The sequence below is a fragment of the Homo sapiens genome, chromosome X (genome assembly GCF_000001405.40).
Source record: "Homo sapiens chromosome X, GRCh38.p14 Primary Assembly".
Lineage (NCBI taxonomy): Eukaryota > Metazoa > Chordata > Mammalia > Primates > Hominidae > Homo > Homo sapiens.
Window position 1 is genome coordinate 110,045,216 of NC_000023.11, and position 25,763 is coordinate 110,070,978.

General features: G+C 39.8%; 1 protein-coding gene and 1 non-coding gene across 21 annotated transcripts in view; both read left to right on the forward strand.

The window, feature by feature from the left end:
- TMEM164 (transmembrane protein 164) overlaps nucleotides 1-25,763 on the forward strand; it is a 181,883-nt gene that overhangs the window by 42,847 nt on the left and 113,273 nt on the right. For 12 of the 20 annotated variants that reach the window (XM_047442570.1, NM_001353849.2, XM_047442569.1 and 9 more), the window contains one exon: nucleotides 22,132-22,181. The exons of 4 other annotated variants lie outside the window; for them this stretch is intronic. In XM_047442570.1, coding sequence (XP_047298526.1) covers nucleotides 22,132-22,181 — 50 coding nt within the window. Of the gene's footprint in view, nucleotides 1-1,141; nucleotides 8,234-8,259; nucleotides 20,309-22,131; nucleotides 22,182-25,763 lie in introns of those variants that run through there. 4 more of the 20 variants (XM_047442568.1, XM_005262208.6, XM_017029897.2 and 1 more) reach the window with 3 other exon arrangements.
- MIR652 (microRNA 652) lies at nucleotides 10,114-10,211 on the forward strand. The gene has a single exon (NR_030381.1). It is a non-coding gene; the product is annotated as a microRNA 652 (primary transcript).

A 25,763-nucleotide genomic window follows, 5' to 3' on the forward strand; every position in this document is an offset into this window, starting at 1 on the left:
ACACTCTCTTATCCTTCCCTCTTTACCCCAGGGAGCTGGCAGAATGGTGTTTCCTCTGTAATATGACATATTTAGATTCTTTTACCAGTTTAAAGAAGTTAATTTAATGGGGGTAAAGGGGGCTAAGTTTTTAGGGTTGGGGTCAGGTACTATCCTTTATAAGAAAGATTATGGGTGTTTGAAGCTCATGAATGGACATGTCATTATCTTTCAAATTACATGCTAAGGATCAGGTTTGTATCGTATGTATTTTACTATGCCTTCTGGTCCATATCTCAGACAAACCACTCTGTGCCAGCTGTGCTAGGTGCCAGCAGCCATGAACTGTGCCAGAGACCCTGCCTCCCTGGCTTAGGTTGATTGGACTGAGTGGCCACCTGTCACCAAGACAGCCCATCTGTCACCTAGCAGGTAACATGGGCTTGACGAGCTGAGAGCTGGGCCTTTTGTATTCCTCTCTTAGGAAATTAGAATTGGGAAGCTGAGAGCCTAAGGCAGTTTGTAACGGAAAAGAGCCAAAAGATGATGGGGAGTGGAGCAGTCATGACAGTTCATGTCCTAGCTAGTTTTTTGAAGGGACAGAAACCATGAGCAAACAGAGGGACCTTGCAAGGGAGGAACAGAGATGCCTTGAGAGACAGAAGAGCTGTTTCCTACAGACACCATGAACCCAGAACCACTTTCCAGTTCTCCTGAGGCCCAGCTTTATCCTACCCTAGGATTCAAATGGGATACCTGTATTCTTTCCACAAACCTCCCTTTTCTTGAGCCAGCTTGAATGAGACTCTGTTTTCCCACAATGGAAATTATCAGACCAGATCTAGGCTCCTACCTTTACAATCGACTTCTGGGTTGAGTCAACAACAGTTGGTTTACATTTAAGGCTGACATGAAGTGCTGAAGACTATTCTAGGTATTACGGGGAACAGTGGAAAAACACAGATACCTGATTATTTCTGTCAAGCTCAGTGCTGACGTTATGGGCTTTGAATCCGTGTTCCTGGCAAACAGTGAGAATGAAAAGAGGCAGGGATCCTGACTGTTCATTTATCACTTCACAGCTCTCAACCAACAGGGGGCCTTCTTTATCCTATTTAACCTCTCAGTAGAGTATTTGCCTTTTGCTTATTCCTCTTTCCAGTCAACTCTTGATTATTCATGTAATAGAGGAAAGCATTAATGTGAATGATAGAAGACTGCCCCACCTTGGCCTCTCTTCTCTGCCACAGCAGCATCCAGTCACAGAAATGGAAACAACTAGCAGGAGAGGTAAGGAGGCTGAAAAAAGGTGGGATGGGGCCAAGCAAATTAACATTGTTTCTTCTACTTTTATACCTTCTTTCTGTTAATAAATGCTGCCTGTTTGAGTTTCTCTTCTGGTGTCACTAGGAGATTGCTGGAACAGCAATGCCATTTGCTTGATTTAAGTCAAAATATGGGATCTTTTAAAAAACTAAAATAGAGTTGGGGGCAATTGACTAGGCTGTTAGTTTCCTCTCCCATCTATTGTACCCCCTTTTGTCAGTGCCACCCAGCTTTCTTGTTGGCTGAGTTTAATGTTGGGCCACTAGCAACCATTCTTTGTTCAGGATTTGGGACTCAGCTAGCCAAAATATCCACAATAGCATTTCTCAAAGTATGGTTCTTGACCCACTTGCATCAGAGTCACCATGTGTGCTTTTTAAAAATGCTGATTCCTTCCACCTTGAATCCATTGAAGGAAAAATGCTAATTCCTGGGCCCTATCCCAGAACTATTGAGTCCGGATATTGGAGTGGGGGACAGAAATGGCTTGGCTTGGAAATATGAATTTTAACTCACCCACCTCCAGGTGATATTTATGTGCTCTCAACTTTGAGAAAGGCTACTCTGTAAAATGGCCTGAGGGGATTTGGAGGGTAGCTCTGGGAAATTATCAACCCTTCTCTTTCACTCACTATTTGTAGAGCAAGTGAGTGGGTGGGGAGAGGAAAGTGGGGCATTCCAGGTGTCAGAAGGTATTTTTCAAAGTGCAGATAGTTAAAGGCTGTCTACTGAAAGGAAAGTGAAGAAAAATAGAGATGCCAGCATGCTAAATTAGATGACACTTAACACTCAAACATTTGTTGAATTAATGCCTGAATAATTAAGAGTTGATTGGGCAGAGACACAGGAAGATTGTGTTTAAGTTACAGACTTGGCTTGCATCCGTGTTTCCTTCTAAAGAGACCACCTTCTCCATTTCTGCATTGTCTTTCTTTAGAGTGAAAATAGCTAGTCATCCCCAACATATTTGGGGTTTTGTGGTAATTTAAATATCTAATAGGCACTGCATAATGCCATTCAATGGTTGTACCTAAATATAACCCTACTAATCAAAATGAGGATATTGTGTTTAAGAGTCTGGCTATATAGTCTCTGGTCTGATTATAGTGTTGAGTCTTTTTTCAAAAACTGTCTCTATGGAGTAAAGCAGGGTCCTGTGTTTCATTGCTTTCCAGACATTCCCCAACAAGTGCTGAATGGATTTTGTTGCAAAAGTTTCTTTGGAAGTCTATTTAGAATTCAGATTGCATTTTCCCAAGGACACAATATTCTTCTTGTGGTTCAGGTTCCCAGACCAGCTGGCAAAAGCCTATTTAATGTGAAGTAGAGTAGAAGTCCAACCCCACCAGCCCCTTACCAGAATGCCTAAAAATATTTTTGATGGGGAAAAGCCTCAGGGTTCAGACCTGTGATCCTAGGCATACATCCCAGCTTCATTCTCTGAGCAGCATCATAGGGATTTATTGTTGGAGGGAACAATTCAAACTCCTTTTCTAGGTCTCCTAGGCTTTGTGTGAGCTGACCTTTCTGCTCATCTCTCCAGTATCATTTCTTACCATGTTTCCTCTGGCACTCTATACTATCCAGGCAAAAGGAACTACTTTAAGTTCCCTGAACGCATCTTTGTAACCTCTATACTATCCAGGCAAAAGGAACTACTTTAAGTTCCCTGAACGCATCTTTGTAACCTCTGGGTCATTTAAGCCTTTAGCTATGCTCTTCCCTCTGCCTGGAGCCTTCTCCTCTTGCCTATCCCTTCTCACTGGTGTTTTGTGTTACAGCTCTCAAAGCTCTGATCATCGTTTTTATTATAGAGTGATTTGTATGCTTTATGTCATTTATCTTCCCTTCTGCCAGACTGAATACTCCACAGAAACAAAGACCATGTCTGTGTTACTCACTGTAGTATGCCCAGCACTTAGCATAGTGCCTGGCAAGTAGTAGGTTCTTAATAATGATATGGCCGGTAAATGAATGATGTTGTCCAGGGGTTCCCGCCCTCTTTTACAGATGTGGACCCTGAGATTTAGAGGGGCCAAGTTTTTTTTTTTTTCCAAGTCCATAGCAGCTGTTTTGGAATTAGAACTTAGGCCTTCTGACTTCCAGGCAATGGTATTTTCTTCCAGAGGTATACATTTCTGTAAATAAAGTCTGAATGCATTGGAATAACTTACCCTGGGGGTTATTTGTAGCAGTCTCAAATCATTTGATCAGGGTCACTACTGGTGATATATAGAGGGAAATAGGAGAGTGAAGTAATGCAGAACATACCTTCTGTAATTTAGATTTGGATCATTTTTGCTGGGCCTGGAGAGGAGGAGCTAGGGGAGTACAGCTTACCCATGGCGCTGCTTACGGAATTTAGACATAAGAGATGGCTGTTCATTATTCTGGGATTCCACATCTGTACAGAGTGTAGAACATAACTGAATACTCAGTAGGTATTTCTTGATTATGCGATTTGCTAAAATCACTCTGCTAGTGTGTTAAAAATACCATTTAGAGTTTTCTATACCATTTACCATTTAATTGATAAGCATGTGGTTTGATAAATGTTGTTGTTATTATTGTTATTAGAAGTAGTTTTATGTAGTTCTTATAGAGATATAAGGGCCTTTAGATCATTTGATTTGGGGCCCTGCCTCAGCTATTAAAAATTGCATTGTACCTTAAATACCTGTTGCCTAATATTGTTTGCCTTCTCATTGTGACTCTTGGGGGTTTCTGCTGCTCAGAATAGAATGGAATCTTTCATAAGACTGGATTAAAGGGCATACGGCCTAATGCAGCAGTCTCTAACCTTTTTGGCACCAGGGACAGGTATTGTGAAAGATAATTTTTCCATGGACTGAGGTGGGGGGTGGGGGAGGATGGTTTCAGGATGAAACTGTTCCACTTCAGATTATTAGGCATTAGATTCTCATAAGGAGCATGCAACCTATATCCAAAGCATGCAGCCTAGATCCCTCTCATGCTCCTATGAGAATATAATGCTGTCACTGATCTGACAGGAGGTGGAGCTCAGGTGATGATGCTCACTCATCTGGCACTCACTTCCTGCTGTGTGGCTTGGTTCCTAACAGGCCATAGATTGGTACCATTCTGTGGTCTGGGGGTTGGGGACCCCTGGCCTAATGGATCATCTTAGTAAAGTTCAGAGGCATTTAGGAGGAAGACCCATCTGATGACATGCAAGGAGGAAATATCTGTAGACCCCTGGAGAAGAGGGAAAGCAGTGCTTTTCCATGTGTAAGCTTGGGACTGAGGGTTGGATTTTTGTGGTAGGTACATGACTGGGTGGAGAGGATGACATTCCTCAGTTCTCCATTTGGCTTTCAGTAGGACACACTTCAGGAGTCCCACATCAGGATGGCTTTTTTTCTCCCTGTGGCTAATTAAAACCATCGTAAGCCCAAAAGCTAAACTCAAAGGCCTTTGAGAGCCTTCCATTGGGCTGCCCAAAGTCCTTAGAGGCTGGTTGGCCAATGTAATGAATAATAAAGGAAATTCATTGAACACCGTTAAGAAAAGATAATGCATGTTTTCCTTCAAACCATCAATGCTTTGCCCCGTCACTGATTTGCTTGTGCGACCCTTCTTTTATGTCACTCTGAATAAACTCCCCTTTGTCTTTCTGGGCCGAGGGAACCAAATGACTATAGAGGGACTCTTATTGGAGTCACACATTTCTTTCCTCCTTGTGACTGCCAAACCACCAAACTCTGGGCCATTTGCATGTGTCTTAATTTCTCCTCATAATGTGGCAAAACACGTTTTGGTGCTAGGTACGATACAACCCTTCCTGGAGTGAACCAAATGTGGAAAGTGCTGTAATTTGAGGGAGTTTTCAGAAAAGAGCCTCTTCTGGTACAGAAAGGCCCTTTTTCCTTTTTTCTTTCTCTTTTTTCATTTATGCCTCATCATATTTTGTCCACTTTCAGCTCATCTCAGGCTGAATTTTCCCTTTGATGTCTGCTTTATAGAATAGCCCTTGCCTGAGAAAAGAGAACAAAAGGCCAACTCTGTGGCTTTCAATTTGCAGCGTCCCCAGCCCTTTTATCCATCTCAGTGCTTCCCTGGTTGGGAACAAAACCCAAGCTCCAGGGTCAGAGCACATACGGAGGAAGAACCCTTTTTGAAAATCCAAGCACATGAGGAATTCATGTTTCATTGTCATCCTGCTTTGCAATTGGGTCAGGTACATATGTGGGGAGGAGAGAGTGGGCTTGGAAGAAAAAAAATTGGTTTGTTACCTCCACAAAAGCAGACATTCTGATTTTCCCCCAGAAGTTCCATTAAGAAGAAAGCAAGTTTTTAAGGGTTTAATTGCTAATTCAGGGTTGCTTTCAGCCATTAGGGCATCTGTATCAAGGCGCCTAGTTTGGGAGGTGGAACAGAAGTTTGACGTGCTAACATTTGGGAACTTTCTCAGACAGGATGTCTTTGTTATCTAATTTCTTTCCATTTTTCAGTACCTGCTTTCAGATTTCTACTTTTTCTCTTCTGCTTCCTTTGGTTTCAAATCACAGAAGACCTATCTCTTTGTGCTCCCAGCTTGTTGTCTTGGTTACAGGCTTCTTCAGCTTGCCTTCCTTTGAGGGGAATATACAGTGTAAAGAAGATTTTTTAAAATGGTGACTAAGGTCCCTTTCTCTAAGGTTACTGGGATATTAAGCAGTGGGTAGAACAGTGACTTGTAAACCCGGCTGTACATTGAAATCAGCTGGAGCACTTTAAAATACTGATGCCCAGGCCCCAGGCCCAACCAGTTGAGTAGGCATCTTGAGGAGTAGGCCCCAGGAATTTTTTTTTCTTTTATGAAACAATAAACTGCCTACGTGAGTCTAATGTGCATTCAGTATTTAGAACTGCTGGGTTTTACAGCAAAGCCAAACAACTTGGTTCTGGCTGTTTGAGCCAGGTGAAGGAAATAGAATCAACTTTTCTGTACCTTAGTTTTACCTGCCTAGAACAGAGAAGCACTAAAGCTTAAGAATTTAAAGAGGCTTACTGTGACCCCCCTGTCATTATTGTTGCATACAAAAGAGAGGTAACTTTCTTTCAAAAAAAAAAAAAGAAAGAAAGAAAGAAAGAAAGAAAGAAAATCCAGTTATTCAGCTGGCTTGGCTTCTGGGCTGTAACAGTGGCTTGAGGATTAAAAGAAATCTTTCCAGTTGCTTGAAGAAGGGTTATCTGTATGGAGGAACAGCAGCTTCATTCCCAGTGTGGTTTGGACAGCGCATTCCAGGTTTTCAAACCTGCCTCAGCTTCCAGCTGACTCCCTTCTCATGCCCCAGGTGGTTAGCAGAGTTAGGCACCATACTTATATTTTTAGTGAAATTGCCTTTTAATAGTATTTTCCTAACATAAAAGCAACAGATGTTCATGATTCAAGCCCGGAACATTATAGGAATATGACACATAGCAAACAAAAGTCCCCTAGAAGTCGGTCTCCCAGACATATCCATTGTAAGCATGTTTTTCCTTCTGATTTTTATCTCTGCATATGCTAAACATTTTATATTTTTATTCTAAAAATGGGATCATTCAACAATGTTTGTATTTTTTTTTCCTTAATATCTTAGCCATCAGTCCATGTTAGTACATATAAATCAACCTCATTCTTAAGGACCCCTGATTCTTAGGATTTTAGTCACACAAGGGCACAATCTCCTTCCGCTTCCCTCCAAGATTTTGCTTTCCTATGGAAAGGCTTGGGTTTTGTTTGTTTCTTTGGGCTTCAAATAGAGCAAATCCATTATATCTGGTATATTTATGTTTGGTTGTTATTTAAAAATTCATACAATTTTAAAGGAATAGAATAGCATATATGATTCCCTCCAACCTCTGACCCCTGATCCACTAGTTCTTCTCCCCAGAAACAAACTGCCATTACCAGATTCTTGGAAATCCTGAGAATTACTGCATGCATAAACAAGGCTTGAATATTCTAAAATGGCTTTTGCTTAGGTAACCAAGTCTATCCATATTGTATGGAGACATCTTGTTTCATTTATTCATTCAGCAAGTACCTGATGAGCATCTCATATGTTCCAGGCACTGTGTTAAGTTCTGGACCTACAGTGAGGACCATCACACAGCTCCTGCTCTCCAGAAGCTTATGGTCAGCAGGGAAGATCAACATTTAATGAAAACATAGCTAAATATAAATGAGAAATGGTGATATGTGTTGTGAAGGAAAAGAACAGCATTTACATGCATCTGTTTTTTTTTTTTTTTTTTTTTTTGAGACGGAGTCTTGCTCTGTCGCATAGGCTGGAGTGCAGTGGCGCCATCTTGGCTGACTGCACCTTCCGCCTTCCAGGTTCAAGCGATTCTCCTGCCTCAGCCTCCCGAGTAGGTGGGGCTACAGGCATGCACCACCATGCCCAGCTAATTTTTTTGTATTTTTAGTAGAGACGGGGTTTCACCATGTTGGCCAGGATGGTCTTGATCTTTTCACCTCATGATCTGCCCACCTTGGCCTCCCAAAGTGCTGGGATTACAGGCGTGAGCCACCATGCCTGGCCTACATGCATCATTTTTTAAAACAGTGATTAATGGAGTCCCCTTTCCCAATTTTTTAATACAAAGGTGTGGATGGGAGATTTGCAGCAAAGATAGGAAAGCAAAGATATAACCCACAATCTTTACTCTTGCCAACAGCTCTTACCTTCTTTCCCACCAAAATTTTCCTTTGATAAAATGTCTTGCTGAGAGTTAGGCTAACTCACCAACCAGCTTTAATTTTGGTTGACAGGGTGCCGTAGAAGACCTTTGCTAGCCAGACTGTGAGCTTCTTGCAGACAGGAATTATGTCCTGCATCACTGTGTGCTCAGAACCTCAGGAAGAACAAACTGATGTAGGCACCAGGAAATAGGTGCTTTTATTACATTCTCATTTTATGCCTTAGAAGCACTGCAAATGGTAGGTATTCTTATTTCTGTTTTAAACAATGAGAAAACTGAGGCTTAAGGAGGTGTAAAAAATACTTTCTTTTAAAAAAAATACACCTCTCCCCCACCATCATAAAAACCCCAACTTTGGCCATAGAGTTCATTGGTGGTGGAGCACTGCAAACATTAGCTGTCCCATGTGGCTTTGACTCTGACACAATTGGTCCTCTTGCTTCAGGGAACTGGATACCATCCATCCCTCCCATGGGTTGGCCTAGGCTCTGTTACTTCAGAGTTTTCTTGACGAGTTTCAAGGTAACCAGGTCATCCTGTTCTACATATTTTTCTGGGATTGAGGTCAAGGAGCAGCATGATCCTCTCTTAAATGGGTCAGAGGAGGAGGACTCCTGTGGCTCCCTGAAAGGTCAAGCCCCTTCATGCTAACTACACCGTCTTCCCTTCTCTTCCAGCTTATGTCCTGGGCTGGGCTCTGGACAGGGAGCAGAGGCAGATGTGCGCATGTGTTCTGGAGGACTTTTATATGTCCGATGGTGTGTTAGGCACTATGTGGAGTGGAGGCAGAGGGAACTCCAGAAAAGATAAATTATCTTATGGTGGAGACAAAAGGTAGTATTGGCAACAAACATGACCTCTGGAATCAGATAGTTTTGGGTTCCAGGCCTGACTCTTTGACTCACTTATTAGTTGTGCGACCTTAGGCAATTTATTTAACCTTTCTGTAGCTCAGTTTCCTTGTATGCAAACAGGAGGAAAATAATAATCTCTTACATAATAGGATTGCTATGAAGAATATATGAACTAATATGTGTAAGACATTGACTGTAGTGCCAGGCACCTAGTAAGCACTCAGTAAGGAATAACTACTGCCATTATTGTTGTTACTAACAACAGTATGAGACTAATAAGTGATTAGTGTATAAGTACCAACAAATACCAATGGAGTTCAGAAAAAGAATGCTTAATTTTTGTGACTTATCCAGGAAATCTCTAGAGGAGACAGAAGAAGTGGAATGAAATATTCCAGGTGGAGCAAATATGAAAGTGGGAGGCTGAACTGAACTGGAGTGGGGAACAAAAAGAAGAAACAAACGCAACATCTGGCACCCTTGAGCTCTACCACCAGCTCACCTGTTGTCACTACCAATATGTCCAGTCCTTTATGGCTCTCCATTTTGGAGTGCCCTGAATTACTGGCTGCAGTTTTGACTTGGCCAGCTAGTTGGCCAGCTGCTCTGACTGAGCTTGAGGGTGTCTGTGCCTTGGTGGAGTTGACACGGGTCCTAACTCTGCAACTTGGTTTGTAGGTTCAAAGCCTAATTTTTATCAGCTTACCCAGGGCTGTTGGTTTCTAGTGGATTGGGTCACACTCCCCAACATTACAAAACACTTCTTAATAAATCACCAGGCTGATAAGTCGATTGATGATGAGAGAGAGACCTTTATAGAGATGAGAACACTTGTGTGTATCAGCCCTTTCTGATATCAAGGTACCTGAAGCCAAATTAAACAGGGACTGTTTTATAACCTAAAATCAGAACCTAATGGAGTTGAAAAGTCTCATGAGCGAGACCATATAGGCTTTGGTAGTCCATGGAAAACTGTACCTTTTTGCATGTCTGTCATAGCTTTGTAGTGTGACCAGAATGTGTGTCCTGTTCTCTCTCCACTGCTGGAGAAACATCAGTAACAATTTTTCTCTTGGATGTTCCTGTTTTCAATTCCATGCAAATGCTGTTTGTGTGCTATGGCCATGCTATTCTCTTGAATTTCTTTTTTCTTGACAAGATTTTTGAGTTGCCTACTTCTCAGCGACAACATAGTGATTCTCTCATTGAGTGTTCTTTTTGGCTTTGTTCTCAAACACTAGGAATGTTTCCAAGCAGGGCCGCCACGAATGGCTATGCACTGCACAACCCTAGGAGAGGGTGCCATTCACATAGACTATAATTGAATGGCGCCACTAGGGTTGTGCAGTGCACAACCTACACAACTGTACTCGGCGGCCCTGGCATAATGTAATGTCAGTACTTTCTTCATCAAGGTACCAGTTTGGGATTGTCCTCAGGGTAAGGGGGCTGAAGCAGTGAGCTGCTGCTGTGACCAGGAAAGGAAGAAAGAAGTAAAGTTGTGGCTTTGGGAGAATTATCTTCTCTGTAAATGAGAGCCATCATATAGGAGAACTACGTACCTTCGTTCTTTCAGTAAATAGTTTTTTAAGTGCCTACTATGTGAGGGTTGAAGAACAGGGAGGGGTTTGCATAGGAGGGAGCATTTGAACTGGGCTTTGTGAAAGAAGTAGAATATTAACATGTGAAGATGAGTCAGGAGGAGAGAATCTCAGGGGGAAGGAATAGCGAGAAGAAAGACAGATGGGAGACCACAAGGGATATATGGGTAATGGTGCATAATTCATCTTGGTTGGATAGAAAAGCATGTAAAAGGGAGTAGTGAGCAATGATGCTGGTCGGGGGTCAAATGATGATGCAGGAGGGGAGGGAGTTGAATGCCCAATTAAGGAATTTGGACTTTTATTTATCAAGCAATAAGGAGCTATCCAAAGTTTGTTTTTTAAACAGCTTTATTGGGTTATAATCATATACCATATAATTCATTCATTTAAAGTGTACAATTGAATGTTTTTAGTATATTCACATATATGTGCAACCACCACCACAGTCAAATTTAGAACATTTTCATCATCCAAAAAATAACTCCATACGATTTAGCTCACCCCCCTCCCTACCTTTCCCCCACTCACCAGCCCTAAGCAATTGTTAATCTACTTTCTGTTTCTATAGATTTTATCTATTCTGGACATTTCATAGAAATTGAGTAATTATAATATGTGACCTTTTTCCACTGGCTTCTTTCACTTAGTATGTTTTCGAGATTCATCTGTGTTTAGCATGTATCAGTACTTCACTTATTTTTATGGCCAATTAATATTCCATTTTAAGGATATGCCACATTTTATGTATCCATTTGTCTGTTGGTGAGCATTTGGGTTGTTTCTGCCTTTTGGCTATTACAGATAATACTTCTGTGAACATCTGTAAGTTTTCAGGTGCACATAGGTTTTTATTTCCCTTGGACATAGGTTTTCATTTCCCCCAGGTATAGGAGTGGAATTGCTGAGTCATATGATAACTCTATGTTTAACCTCTCAAGGAGCTGCCAGACTGTTTCTCTAAAATGGCAGCATCATTTTACATCCCTACCGACAGTATAAAAGGGTTCCAATTTCTCCACATCCTCATGCACACTTGTGTTTGCCTTTTATATTTTGGCCATGCTAGTGGGTATGAAGTGTCATCTCATTGTGGATTTGATTTGCATTTCCCTGATGACTAATGATGTTGAACATCTTTTCATGTGCATGTTGAGTACCCGTGTGTTTTCTTTGGAGAGATGTCTGTTCAAGGTTATTTATCTTTTTATTGTTGAGTTTTTTTAATACTTTAGCTATTTTTAATGTATATATTTAAGGTTTTCAACTTAATGATTATATATATATATGGAAATCACCACAATCAAGATAACACATGCATTACATCATAGAGTTATCATTTATGTGTGTATGCGTGTGTGTGTGTGTTGGAAATACTTAGGATCTATTCTTATAGCAAATTTTAAGTATACAGTACAGTATTTTCACCTATAGTCGCCATGCTGTACATTAGATATCCAGGACTTACTTGTCCTGGAAAACTAAAACTTTGTACTTTTTGACTAACATCTTACTTTCCCAGCACCAGCCCCAGCTAACCATCATTTTATACTCAGCTTCTATGAGTTAGACTAATTTACATTTCATATTTATGTGACATCATAAGATATTTTTCTTTCTGGCTCATTTCACTTAACATAATGTCCTTTGGGTCCTTCTGTGTTACTGCAAATGATAGGATATCCTTCTTTTTAAAGGCTGGATAATATACCACATTTTCTTTATTCATGCATCCATCGATGAACATTTATCTTGTTTCTATATCTTTGCTATTGTGAATAACGGTGCAAGGAATATAGGAGTGCAGATATCCCTTTGAGATCTTGATTTCAACTGTTGGATAAGTATTCCAGAAGTGGGATTGCTGTGTCATAGAATAGGTCTTTTTTTTTTTTTTTTTTTGAAACTATACTATTTTTGATAATGGCTCTATTGATCTCCATCAGCAGTTTTCCAGGGTTCTGTTTTCTCCACACCCTTCCCAATATTGCCATCTTTTGCATTTTTTATAATAGCCATTCTGACAAGGGTGACATGAGATCTCACTGTGGTTTTCATTTGCATATCCCCAATGATTAGTGATGTTGAGCACCTTTTCATATACCTGTTGTCCATTTGTATGCCTTCTTTGGAAAAATGTCTATTCAGATCCTTTGCCCATTTTAAAATTGGGTTATTTGTATTTCTGCTATTGAGTTTATGAGTTCTTTACATATTTTAAATATTGACATCAAATTTGTGGTTTGCAAATATTTGCTATATAGCTTTTTAGGTTGATGTAGTCCTAATTGTTTTTGTTTGTTTGTTTTTTACTTTTCTTGCACGTGCTTTTGATGTCATATTCAAAAAATCATTGCCAAGACCAATTTCAAGAAGTTTTTCCTATGTTTTCTTCTAGGAGTTTTATGGTTTCAGATGTTACATTTAAGTCTTAAGCCCATTTTGAGTTGGTTTTTGTGTGTGGTGTAAGATAAGAGTCTGATTTCATTACTTTGCGTGTGGATATCCAGTTACCCCAACATCATTTGTTCAAGCAAGCATCTTTTCCCCCATTGTGTATTTTTGACCCTCTAAGGTTCTTTATTCCTTTTCATCCTTTTTTTTCTTTTTCTCTTCTGATGAGGTAATTTTAAATAACTGTTCTTCAAATTTGCTGGTTCTTTCTTCTGCTTGATAAATCTCCTGTTTTTAGTTGAGTCATTGTATTCCTCAGCTCCAGAATTTGTTTGGCTGTTGTTTACAGTTTCTATCTTTTTATTTAACTTTTCATTTTGATCATACATTGTTTTCCTGATTTCATTGAGTTGTCCATCTGTTAATTTTCTTTTTTATTGTTGAGTCTTAAGAGCTATTTATTCTGAATACTAGACTCCTATTAGATACATGATTTGCAGATTTTTTCTCCCATTCTTTGGGTCCCCTCCCCTCCCCTCCCCTTTCTTTCTTTTTTTTTTTTTTGAGACAGAGTCTCACTCTGATGCCCAGGCTGGAGTGTGCAGTGGTGTGATCTCAGCTCACTGCAACCTCTGCCTCCCTGGTTCAAGCACTTCTCCTGCCTCAGCAGGAGAAGTAATCCCAAGTAGCTGGGATTACAGGCATGTGATGTGCCACAACGCCTGGCTAATTTTTTTTTTTTTTAATTTTTAGTAGAGACAGAGTTTTGCTGTGTGGGCCAGGCTGGTCTCAAACTCCTGACCTCAAGTGATCTGCCTGCCTCGGCCTCCCAAAGTGCTGGGATTACAGGTGTGAGCCACCATGCTCAGTCTGGGATGTCTTTTCACTTTCTTAATAGTGTCATTTGAAGCATGAAATATTTTAATTTTGGTGAAGTACAGTATATTTATTTTTTCTTTTGTTGCTTGTGCTTTTGGTTACATCTTAGAGTCTGTTACCAAATCCTAGGTCATGACATGTATCCCTATGCTTTCTTTTACAAGTTTTATAGTTTTTGCTCTTACAGTTAGGTCTTTGATTTTGAGTGAATTTTTGTATATGGGTTATGAGGTAGGGGTCCAACTTAATTCTTTTGCCTGTGGATAACCAGTTGTCCCAGCATCATTTGTTGAAGAGACTGTTCTTTCTACCATTGGATGGTCTTGATACCTTAGTCAAAAATCACTTCTGAGGATTTATTTCAGTACTCTCAATTCTATTCTGTTGGTCTCTGTGTCTTTCCTTAGGTTAGTACCACACTGTCTTTGTTACTGTTGCTTTGCCATAAGTTGAAATCAGGCTGTGTAAGTCCTCCCACTTTTTCTTTTCAAGGTTGGTTTGGCTGTTTGGGGTCCCTTGCATTTCCATATGAATTTTAAAATCAGCGTGTCAGTTTCTACAAAAAAAAATGTCAGCTGGGATTCTGATACGTACTGTGATGAATCTGTCATTTAAAACTTTCAAGGAGGAGTGTAACAGGATCAGAATGCTATTTTAAGAATAGGAACCTGACAATACTATATAAAATTAGAGCAAGCTTGTCCAGCCTGTGGACTGCATGTAGCCCAAGACAGCTTTGAATGCAGCCCAACACAAATTCATAAATTTTCTTAAAACATTATGAGATTTTTTTGCAATTATTTTAAAAAGATCATCAGCTATCATTAGTGTTAGTGTATTTTATGTGTAGACCGAGACAATTCTTCTTCCAGTGTGGCTCAGGGAAGCCAAAAGATTGGACACCCGTGAATTAGAGTGATGAAGGAAAAACACTGGATACTTGGAGATCAGATAGGAAACTGCTGTAGTAGTTTAAGAAAATGATAGGGACCAAACTAGGAAAAGATAGTGAGGGTGGATTTCAGATGTATTGAAAAGGTTGGGCTGGGTGCAGTGGCTCACACTAGTAATCTTAGTGCTTTGGGAGGCTGAGGTGGGAGGATCACTTGAAGCCAGGAGCTTGAGACCAATCTGGGTAACAAAATGAGACCCCATATGTACAAAAAATAAAAAATAAAAATAGCTAGGTGTGGTGGCACATGCCTGTAGTCCTAACTACTCAGGAGGCTGAGGTGAGAGGATTGCTTGAGCCTAGGAGTTTGAGGCTGCAGTGAGCCATGATCACACCAATGCACTCCAGACTGGGTGACAAACCAAGACCCTGTCTGAAAAAAAAAAAAAAAAAAGAAAAGAAAAAGAAAAGGTCTAAGTGACAAGACAGGATTTGGGGACTGAATACATGTGGGGCTGAGAAAGGTGGGGGATCAGGGGTAACTCTGAGGTGTGAAGAGAGGCTAATGGATTAGATTATAGTACCTTTTAAAACTTTGTATTATTTTGAAATGACTTTTGACTTACAGAAGAGTTGTAAAGATATTACAGAGAATTCCTGTATATCCTTCACCCAGCTTCCCCTAATGTTAACATTTTACATAACTATGGTAAAATTATTAAAACTGAAAAATTAGCATTTATACAATGCAATATGAACTTAACTACAGTCTTTATTTGGGTTTTACCAGTTTTTTTCACAAATGTCCCTTTTCTGTTGCAGGATCTATTTAGGATCCTTAATTGCATTTAGATATGATCTCTCTTTAGTCTTCTCTAATCTGTGGTAGTTCCTTAGTCTTTGCCTTTCACAACCTTGACTATTTTGAAGAGTACTGTTCAGTTTACTCTGTAGAATGCCCCTGATTTGGGTTTATCTGATGTTTTTTCATGATTCCATTGAGATTATACAATTTGGGCATCCAATAAGGACGATGCTATCAATAGCTCATACTTATTTTATTCCCTACAGTGTGCCAGGCATTTGAACTAGGTACCTCAAGCATTTAAATTTTACAGTTACCCTATGAAATAATACTATTGTAATCCTCACTTGACAGATAAGGGAACTGAGCCTAAAGGGTTAAGTATTCTCTGTAGGCAGCTGGACAAGGGAAGTTGAGTAATATGTCAGAATGTTGTTATTGCAAACATGGAATTAAAACAAGTGAAGTTAGAGGAATTGAAAATTTAATATGATTTGTTGCTGAATTGGCTCATAGTAGGGATGAATTTTCTATTGAAATCAGGATAATTATAGCTATTATGTATTGAGTGCTAGCTATGTGCTAGGCATTGTGCCAAATGCTTTTCTTGCTTTGTTTCATTTTGTCCTCTCCCAAACCTTGTGAGACATAGATACTATTTTTGTCTCTATTTTACAGATGAAAATTCCTCTAATCTCTTGCCCAAGGCCAGAGTGCTGGTGAGTGGCAGAGCCACCATGTGGATCCAAGTTTGTCTTAACTCTAAAGCCTGTATTCTTTAACCACTTGGCAATGCTAACTGTCCTCCTTCCATCTTCTTAGTAGGGATGAATTTGCCAATGGGACTAGAAAACATGATATTTATGGGCTTGGATGTAGACACTGCTTGGTTGTGGACATTACCAAATACATGTTTGCAACTCTCCTTATTTTATACCTCAGTGGTTGGTCAACCCCATTCTTTCTTTGGGTATATTTCAAGCAGGTTACAATCTGGTCTTTCAAGTCTGGGATTTTAACGCTTAACTCTTAGTAGGCACTCTTATTTCCCTTTTATTCAAATTCTTGAGGGAAGCTTCTTTATAAACTCCTTAGACTGACAAAAATAGTAAAATCTCAGAAATAGGCAAATCAAGGGAGATAATGAAATCACCAGAATGGGCGTTTAACCGTGGAGTGTAAGGGAAGCTTTCCTGGAGAAAATAGTTTAATTTTGCATTTGAAGGGTAGATAAGAGCCACAAGAGGAAAGTTGGAAAAACCATCTGGAAGAGGGAATAGGATTAGCAAAGGCACAATTTCTTGATGTTAGAGATTTAAATTTAAAAAATAAAATTATGAAAATGTTAAGAAAACAATAGGTGACTCTGTAATCCCACTGTTATAAAAGATTTTCAAAGCGTGATATCAAAGACAGAAGCCATAAAGGGAATGACAAATACATCTGATTACATAAAGATTTAAAAAGCTTCCATAAATAAAAACCTATCATAAACAGAGCTGCAACAATGACAGCCTGGGAAAATTTTTTGCAATAAATTTCAGTCTATATTAGCTGTCATTAATATATAAATAGCTCTTTACAACTCAGTTGAAAAGAACACACCAGCTGAAAAACAGTCAAAGTGCACAGATGGTCACATCCCAAAAGAAGAAATATGGCTGGCCAATATACCTGTTAGAAAATAGTTTAACATTTCTGGTAATCTGAGGCATGCAAATTGTGTGTGTGTGTGTGTTTTGCCTGTTAAACACGTGATAATTACCAAATGATAATGACCTGTTTGTCAGGTTGCAGCAGAAAACAGATCCTTGTATATTGCTGGAGGGAATAGCAATTTAAATAATTTTTCTGGAGGGCAGTTTAGCATTATGGGTCAAAAGCCTTCAAATGGATATTCCCTTTGAAGATCTAGACTGTCTTCTATCAATGTGGGCTAAGGAAATAGTAAAGGAACTGAAAATTTAGATGTAATTTACATGTGCAACCAGAGGATATTGGTTGAGTAAATTATTGCATATCCATATAATTGAATAAAATGAAGGTATTGGAAAATGAGATAGTAGAAGTGTAGTAATTGACACAAATACGTTCAGGGTACAGCTTGACATAACGCGCAAGGCTGTCATGCTGGAGAGGTAGGCAGGATCTAGAGCAAAGAAGGCCTTGTCCGCCATCCGAAGAACCTTGAGCTTTTTTGGTAGGTAGTGGCAAGCCATGGAAGGATTTAAAATGGCAGATCAGAGGGGCATTTTAGATAGATCCCTCTTGTAGCAGTGTGCCTGGAGGCAGGAGACCAGTAAGGAAATTATTGCAGTGGTCCTGAAAGAGATGATGAGGGCCCAAGGGTATGAAGTAGATGGAGTCATAGGACCAACTTTGGGCAGCCCAGAGAGTTAATCTTCCTTATGGTGGGTAACAGTCATAAGCACTTGGCCTCAGCGATCCCCAGATAGCTATGTGCCATCCCAGGAGGTGCTGACAGGAGAACTGGAGCTTGGGGAGATTGTGTGCTAGGCCAAACACCACTCTCCTGTACCTCTCTCACTCTGTTTCCCTTTCATTTAGTTTGCCCATATCCCTTCATTGCTTACCCTGGCTAGCCTCTCATTTAGGATGGCCTGTGGTCACTGGCCCTCCTTCCCAATTACATTTCTCATAGTACTAACACTTGCTCCAGTGTACAAAAGCTATCTTCTTTAAGTGCTATGAAAATGAGGATTGTTGAATGTAACACTGGGGTGGAGCAGAAGTGGATGGGAGGCTGAACAATGGTGGCAGTGAACTTGGGGCTGATATGACTGGGGGAACAGGAATGGGAAGCAGGCCAGGTGTTGGCTGAGAGGTTCGGTAGAGAAGGTGGGAACCTGGAACCAGAGAGGTTCGCAGGTAGAGGATGAACTGGGATAACAGCTGATGCCTAGATTGGATGCTTAGGAAAGAACTAAAGGTTAGTACAGGGATCTTTCCTGAGGAAGCTGAGAGAGTGTGTGGTTTTGAATGGAACCGTGGATTTTTTCTGGGAAAACCAGCCAAAAAAGACCTCAGTTTTATAAGGATTGCAAGTGCCCACCAGACCTGGGGATGAGGCAGGTGGGAGCTATAATGAACCTGTCTTTGGGACTCTGAAACTCATCTATGTAAATGCAATTTGCTGTCCAGTTGAGTTTGTGTTTTGAGATGTCTCACACTGTAGAGAGTAGATCTTATGAGCTGGCTGATGGCACAGGTGTGGGGCTGTTGGGGTGACTCCCTGTGTGCCATGTGGTCAAGGGCCAGGGCTAGAGTCTAAAGAAAAGGAGCTCTCATGAGCCCTGGTATGTGTCAGGTGTGAAGTGGAAAGTGCATTGAACTGGGAGTTAAGGGACCTGGGCTCTCATCAGAAAGCTTGTCAGAACCTTTTCCCCTCAGTTTCCTCATCTCTGAAATGGGGTTTAATAACATGGTTCTGCCTGCCTCCCAGGTGATGGGAAAGTGGAAGTGCTCTGTAGCACTTCTCTATATGCTACCTGCTCATGCCTTTTGTTTCAGGTGCTGAGCTGGGCAGATGTCAGCATGAATGCAAAGTGCCAAGTTGGTACTGGGGTATGCTCAGATATATTCTCATCTTTGTACCATCCTTGTTTGAACTTCTAAGTCTCATCTCTTCCTATTCTATTTGCAGCCAAAGTGATAGTTTAGCTTTTCACCTCCTAGTCTAAAAATGCATGCCACCAAAATTTTCAGGCAGTTGGAAGCCAAGCAAAGAAGAAAGCAAGGATATTCAGACCAAGGCTGGGGGCCCTTGCACCTCTGAATTAAAATGTTAGTTCCATGTGGCTCTGTTGGCTAATGTTGAATATGAATGTGACTCTAGCATGACAGGGTGAAGAGGTTCAGTATCAGAAATCTGAGAAGTTGCTAAAGGAGGCCATGAGTTTTCTGGAAATGCAATATGAATAATCAGGAATCCCCAGATAACTGTGTACCATCATAGGAGGTGGAATGTAATGTAATAAATAATCTTTCAATCAGATACATTTAGTTATATCAAGTCAGCAGATTTGAAAAAGGACCCTAGAGGCCAGGCACAGTGATAAACCTGTAATCCCAGCACTTTGGTAGGCTGAGGCAGGAGGATTGCTTGAGGACAGGAGTTCGAGACCAGCCAGGGCAACATAGTGAGACTCTGTCTCCACAAAAAAATAAAAATAAAAATAAAAAATAAAAAAATTAGCCAGATATGGTGGTGCACACCTGTAGTCCCAGCTACTTGAGAGGCTGAGGTAGGAGAATTGCTTCAGCCCAGGAGTTGGAGGGTACAGTGAGCTATGATTGCACCACTGCACTCCAGCCTGGATAACAGAGTGAGACTTTCTCAAAAAAAAAAAAAAAAAAAAAAAAAGATACCTTCTATGCTGCTATGCTGATGATAGAAATAGGCAAGACAGAAAAGATGAAACGACTAAAGTTAGAACCATGACTGATGGAGGATAACAGGACAACCAACTGGGTTGAAACTGGAGGCTTGTTCTCTTTAATAGTTTTCTGGGCTTCTAGCCTAGGGAAATTGTGGATCAGAACCAGCCAAATGGACTTATAAGGGAAATTTGTCCCCGAAAATCAGCTTACCTCCTCTTGTCTGTGGGTATAGAAAAGTAAGATTTAACTGTGGTGCCCAGTGTTGCATTTTTACATCTCTGTTTAGCATGTTGGAAGTGTCTTGGGTATTCCAGAAGCTCAGGAAGGCTGCTGGCATGACTCTGGTGACTCCAGAAGTATTGAGGACCTTTCTAAGGTGGTTGGGGCCCCTTCCTCTTCTCTGTGTACTGTAGCTTCTGAGTGTAGCCTTTGATGGGCCTGATGCTGGGTAACTATGTGCAGCCTCCAACTTGGTCCCTTACCTAAGGTGAGTAACTTTACTGCTGGATCAAGGGTAAAAAATATTAGCTTTGTTTATTTCTTGGACTGCTCCTGAGGGGTGGGATGGGGAGTGGGGATAAGTCGATGTTTGGATAATTGAAATTTCAAGTCTGTAATCCTTATCCAAAACCATTAAGATCAGATATATTTCAGAAATCAGAATTTTTTTGGATTTCAGAGAGGCCGTACAGTGCATGTAGAGTCTTTTACATACACTCCCAGTGGGGTTTGAGGCAGTACCCCGCAATTAAATACATTATTATTTTTATGGGAAACATATGAATATTCACCGTAAGTGGAAGAAATAAAGTCTATAAGTAGCCTAACCTCAATTCAAGTCGTATTTTGCTGTAACATTAGCTTTGAAGAAAACAAACTTTCAGTTTTTAGAGCTTTTTGGATTTTGGGATTGCCAACAAAAGATTGTGGACCTGTAATTATCATCGGCTTTGTATGTTTAATGAAATTGATCAAGGGAAAAGGCACATTCTTGACAGATATTTCCTTTGATGAGGTATCATGCAGGTGATGGACTCCTGACTGTGTTCTTTTTAAGACCCTTTCTCATTTTCATTCTTCTTCCTCTTCTTATTGGCAGGGATTCATGCAGGTGTCTTTCCTTATAGTGATTTTTCTTATAATACCCTTTTCTTCTAAATATGGACTCCGAGAGAACAGAAGAACCACATACTAAAGAACATACAAGTGATAAAGCCAACAAGTCCATAATGCAGATATCCTATATTAATAAGAGCTCTCAACAATATAGGGACACATGTCAACGATTTCTAAACCACACCATTAAGTCACTACAGGTGAAGAAACTCTACAAACATGAGTTTCATTCCTTTGTCAATCCTCAGTTCTGCTGAATGTTTTTGACTCCTGTAGTAGTTCAGTCCAAGGGCAAAAATTCAGCATCTCAGGCTACCAGGAGTGATTGAATCTCCTGGGACATTTGTGAAACATGAGGATTTCTGGAGTCCCATACTTGGGGAATCAGAATTCTTAATGGGGGAACCCAGGAATTTGTATGTTTTACAAGCTCTGCATAGGACTTTTTTGTTCCTCTTGATGTTTGAGCACCACTGCATGGGGGAAGGTCAAACTGCCACAGCTGCAGGTTTCCAAAGGCTGTAATCTGGGCCCATGCCACACCAGGTATCAGGGAACTGATTTGTCTGTTAGGACAAGGTTCTTTTTGTTTGGTTTTACCTGGGAGGAGAATGGAAGAGTAAAACCACCTAGACGTGCTTAGAAACAAAAGAATCAATCAAAGGGAGGCTTGGAACCTGCGGGTGGCAGTTTGATAGGGTTGCCAGCTAAAATAAATACAGGACATATTTATACTAAAACTATTCATTGTTTATCTGCAATTCGAATGTAACTGGGCATCCTGTATTTTTATTTGCTAAATTTGGCAATGTTGAGTATTGATAAACCCACCTTCTCCCCTGGGAGGCAAACCAGATGGCATGGTGTGTGCGTGTTCCATGCTCAGAATCTATTTTTACCTGCCCTGGGTTAAATTTAAGACTGACTACTTGTGTCGTATTGAAACTGAAGCATTGAAATATTGAGTCTTCTCACCCTCCTTCTCCCTTTCTCATGTGTGCGCACACACACACACACACACACACACGCATGCATGCATGCAAGCACAAACATGTACCTGTTGCCTTTAAAAATTTTTATATTACATTATTGTGTTAGAGTTTTGGTTATTTTTTGTTATTGTTAAAGTAACATTGTCTCACTCTGTCTGGCATTTTTTCTTGCTAACCATTCTTAATTCTTCTTCAATTGCAGATCTTTCTCCTGGCCTGCCCTCCATGTCGGGGAGCTATCGTCGTCTTCAAGTAAGAGAAAATTGGCTTTTGCTCTGTTGCTCTTCAGAGTATTTTTGTCTGTTTGCTAACAAGACTGATAACACATTGCTGTGAACACCTTGGGATTGTACCATTTTGTCTTTGCACTTCCCAAAGGGATGAAGGTCTGTGAGGGCCTACTGAAACAGGGAAATATTGTTTGTGAAGACCTGGTTTTTGTCAAGCCGTCAAATCCTTTTTAGCAAATCCTTCCAGTAGGGGATGTATGGCCAAGGCATGCTCCCTTGGAAGGTTGCTGCCCTGCTAAAATTTCTCTTGAGAGCATGCTAGGGGCCAGACAGCTTCCTTTCTCTCAAGAATCTTTGCTTTGTGAGCCTACTGCTCCACTGAGCATATGGTTCTTCACATTGAAGGGCATTGTTCTTATGTTTTTATGGGGTTTTCCCCCCTAAAGTGCAAATTAAAGTGAGGAGAGGAAAATGTCCACTATTACAAGTTCAGACTTTCATAAAAATAGCAAGCATCAAATCTATTAAAGTATATTGCAGGCAAATAGTGTTTCTCTGAAGGCAGGTTTATTTAAATGAAATTATCAAGAGTCCTGGAACCCTCATTTTAACCGTGAGTTGTGACCACCTCACTTATCAAACCTTTTATTAGAGTTGCTAATGAGAAGCCAAATCGACTGAATTAATTTCATCTCTTTTCTCCTTCCCTGGCCCCGATTCTGGAGATGTTCCTGAGCAGTGAAATGGCTGCAAGCCAGAGGAAGGGAACAGGAAATAAAGAGCCCAGCAGATTCTTGGATAATTGAGAATGGTGTAAATGGCTTTCTGATTTACTTAAGTCATTAAAGTGTTAGGTAGGGGAAAAAGGACCCCATTTGCTGCTTCAAATAGCTCCCTGAAATAGCCACTTAGTCTCTTGCCTTAGGTGAGTAACTTTCAGCTGCGTGAGGGATAATGGATCCTGATTTCATGTATTTCTTACTTGAACAGCTCCTAAAGGAAAGGGGTATTTAACCCTGTTTTCCTTCCTTGATTTTCCAAAATGAGCTCAATTATTCAGTGTAATGTTTTAAAAGTAACATTTATTGGTTCTATTTCATTATGAAAGTAACAATTCTCATTATGGAAAACACAGGGACACATAAGGAAGAAACATCATCCATCCCAAATCCAAGCACCAAGAGATAATTTTGCTTATTACCTTTCTTTTCTTAAGAAGCAGAGATCATATTGTATATTGAGGTGTTTACTGTATCTTTTCTAAATTTAACTTGGTTTATTGATACATTCATATAGGTGTGTAAATCATAAATATGATTGCTGGATTTTTTTTTGTAGTGGTCCTTTCTTTTCCCTTTTTTTCTTCAGCTCCTAGTTCTACCTTTCCACACTATCCCTTTGTATTACCAAAACAGTATGTATCTTTTCACATTTTACTCCATGTGCATAGATATACACATGCATACACACATACACACACAAGTTTTGGAATGTTTTGTTGTTGTTCATTGTTTGTTTTACAGAAATAGAATATTATATATACTTTAATATATCTTTTTCATTCTACAATATCTCATAGAAATCTATCACAGTCTATTGATGTAGCTCTTATTCTTTTATAATGTTGTAAAATATTCCATGAATGCACAATAAGTTATTCAGCCATTCCCCTATTAATGAACATTTACTTTCTTTGCACATTTCTGCCACTACATTCAATGCTTAAATCAACATGATTTTGTATATACCCTTATATACTGTTGCTTTCAGTTTAGATATAGATGTAGGTAGAGGTATATAGGTATATGGGAATGTTTAAATATATATTTATGTTAATAGATATCGCCATATTGATTTATAAAAACAGGCTGTTATGCTACACTTTTTGCTTTTGTATGTAATATGTGAGATTATTATTTTCTTCTTATCCCTATCAGCAACAGGTGTTAATGGTTCTTTTGTAATTTTGACAACCTAATGGATGCAGTTTCTTGGCTACTAGTGAGTTTCAGTATTATCTCAATTTTTTGTCCAATTAAATTTGTTCCTCGAGTTGTCTATTCATATTATCTGCACATTTTCCTATGGGTTGTTTATATTTTTCTAATTTCTAAGACCTCTTTGTATATTTTAGATTTTAGCCCTTTGTCTATCATCATTGTTACAGATACCTTTCCCAAATATGTTTATATTGACTTTTTTTTTTTTTTTTAATTATTTTTTTAGTAGAGATGGGGTTTCACCATGTTGGCCAGGCTGGTCTCGAACTACTGACCTCAAGTCATCTGCCCGCCTCGGCCTCCCAAAGTGCTGGGATTACAGATGTGAGCCACTGCGCCCAGCCTATACTGACTTTGTTGATGGAATATATTTCCATATAATTGTTTGCATTTTTATATCCAAATATGACTCTTTTCTTATATAGCATCTGAATTTCAAGTCTTGGTTAAGATAGTTTTCTTGAAGATAGGTAGCCAGTTGTATTGGAATAATATATTAAATGATCCCTATTTTACCCTGTGATCTCTTTGCAGCTATTAAATGTTTTATATGCTAGGATCTACTTATGGATTCTCTATTCTGTTTCTTCTTTTTGTCTATTTGTGTACCCAAATCTCATATATTTGATTACATTAGGCTTTAAAAAATATTTTTCTGGGGCCGGGCACGGTGGCTCACGCCTGTAATCCCAGCACTTTGGGAGGCTGAGGCGGGTGGATCACTTGAGGTCAGGAGTTCGAGACTAGCCTGGCTAACATAGTGAAACCGCATCTCTACTAAAAATACAAAAATTAGCCAGGCATGGTGGCACATGCCTGTAATCCCAGCTACTCAGGAAGCTGAGGCAGGAGAATCACTTGAACCCAGGAGGCGGATGTTGCAGTGAGCCAGGACTGTGCCACTGCACTGCAGCCTGGGGAACAGAGTGAGACTCTGTCTCAAAAAAAACATAAAAAAAATTCTTGGCTATTTGTTGTCACTTGTTCGTACACACAAATTTTAAGATCACTTATATTCACCTACCTCTCTCAAATACTAGTGGAATTCTAATTAGAATTGCCTTAAGTATATATTTCAGTTTTTAAATTATATGGCTCCTTTTATCTAAGAAATGGTATTTCTTTCCATCTGTTCACGTCTTATTGTTTCAGTTAGATTTATCTTTTTCTTCATATCTGCTCTATGCCTTTCTTGATGCATTTATTCCTCAAGAATTAACAGCTTTTCTGCCAGGTGCAGTGACTCACGCCTGTAATCCTAGCACTTTGGGATGCTAAGGTGGGCATACTGCTTGAGCTCAGGAGTTTGAGACCATCATGGACAACATGATGAAACCTCGTCTCTAACCCCCCACCAAAAAAAAGAATTATAAAAAGAATAGAAAAAGAATTAATAGCATTCCCCCTCTCCCCCAACCACGCCGTAATGAGTGGAATATTTTTCCCCTTTCTATTCCTAAGTGCTTTTTGCTAGAATAGGAAAAGATTGTTGATTTTTAAAAATATCTTATATCTGGCTATCTTACCGAATTCTCTTGTTCTTGTAAATTTTATTTTAGTTTTATCTCTTCTTTTCCTTAGTTATACCAGTTATTTCATTTTCT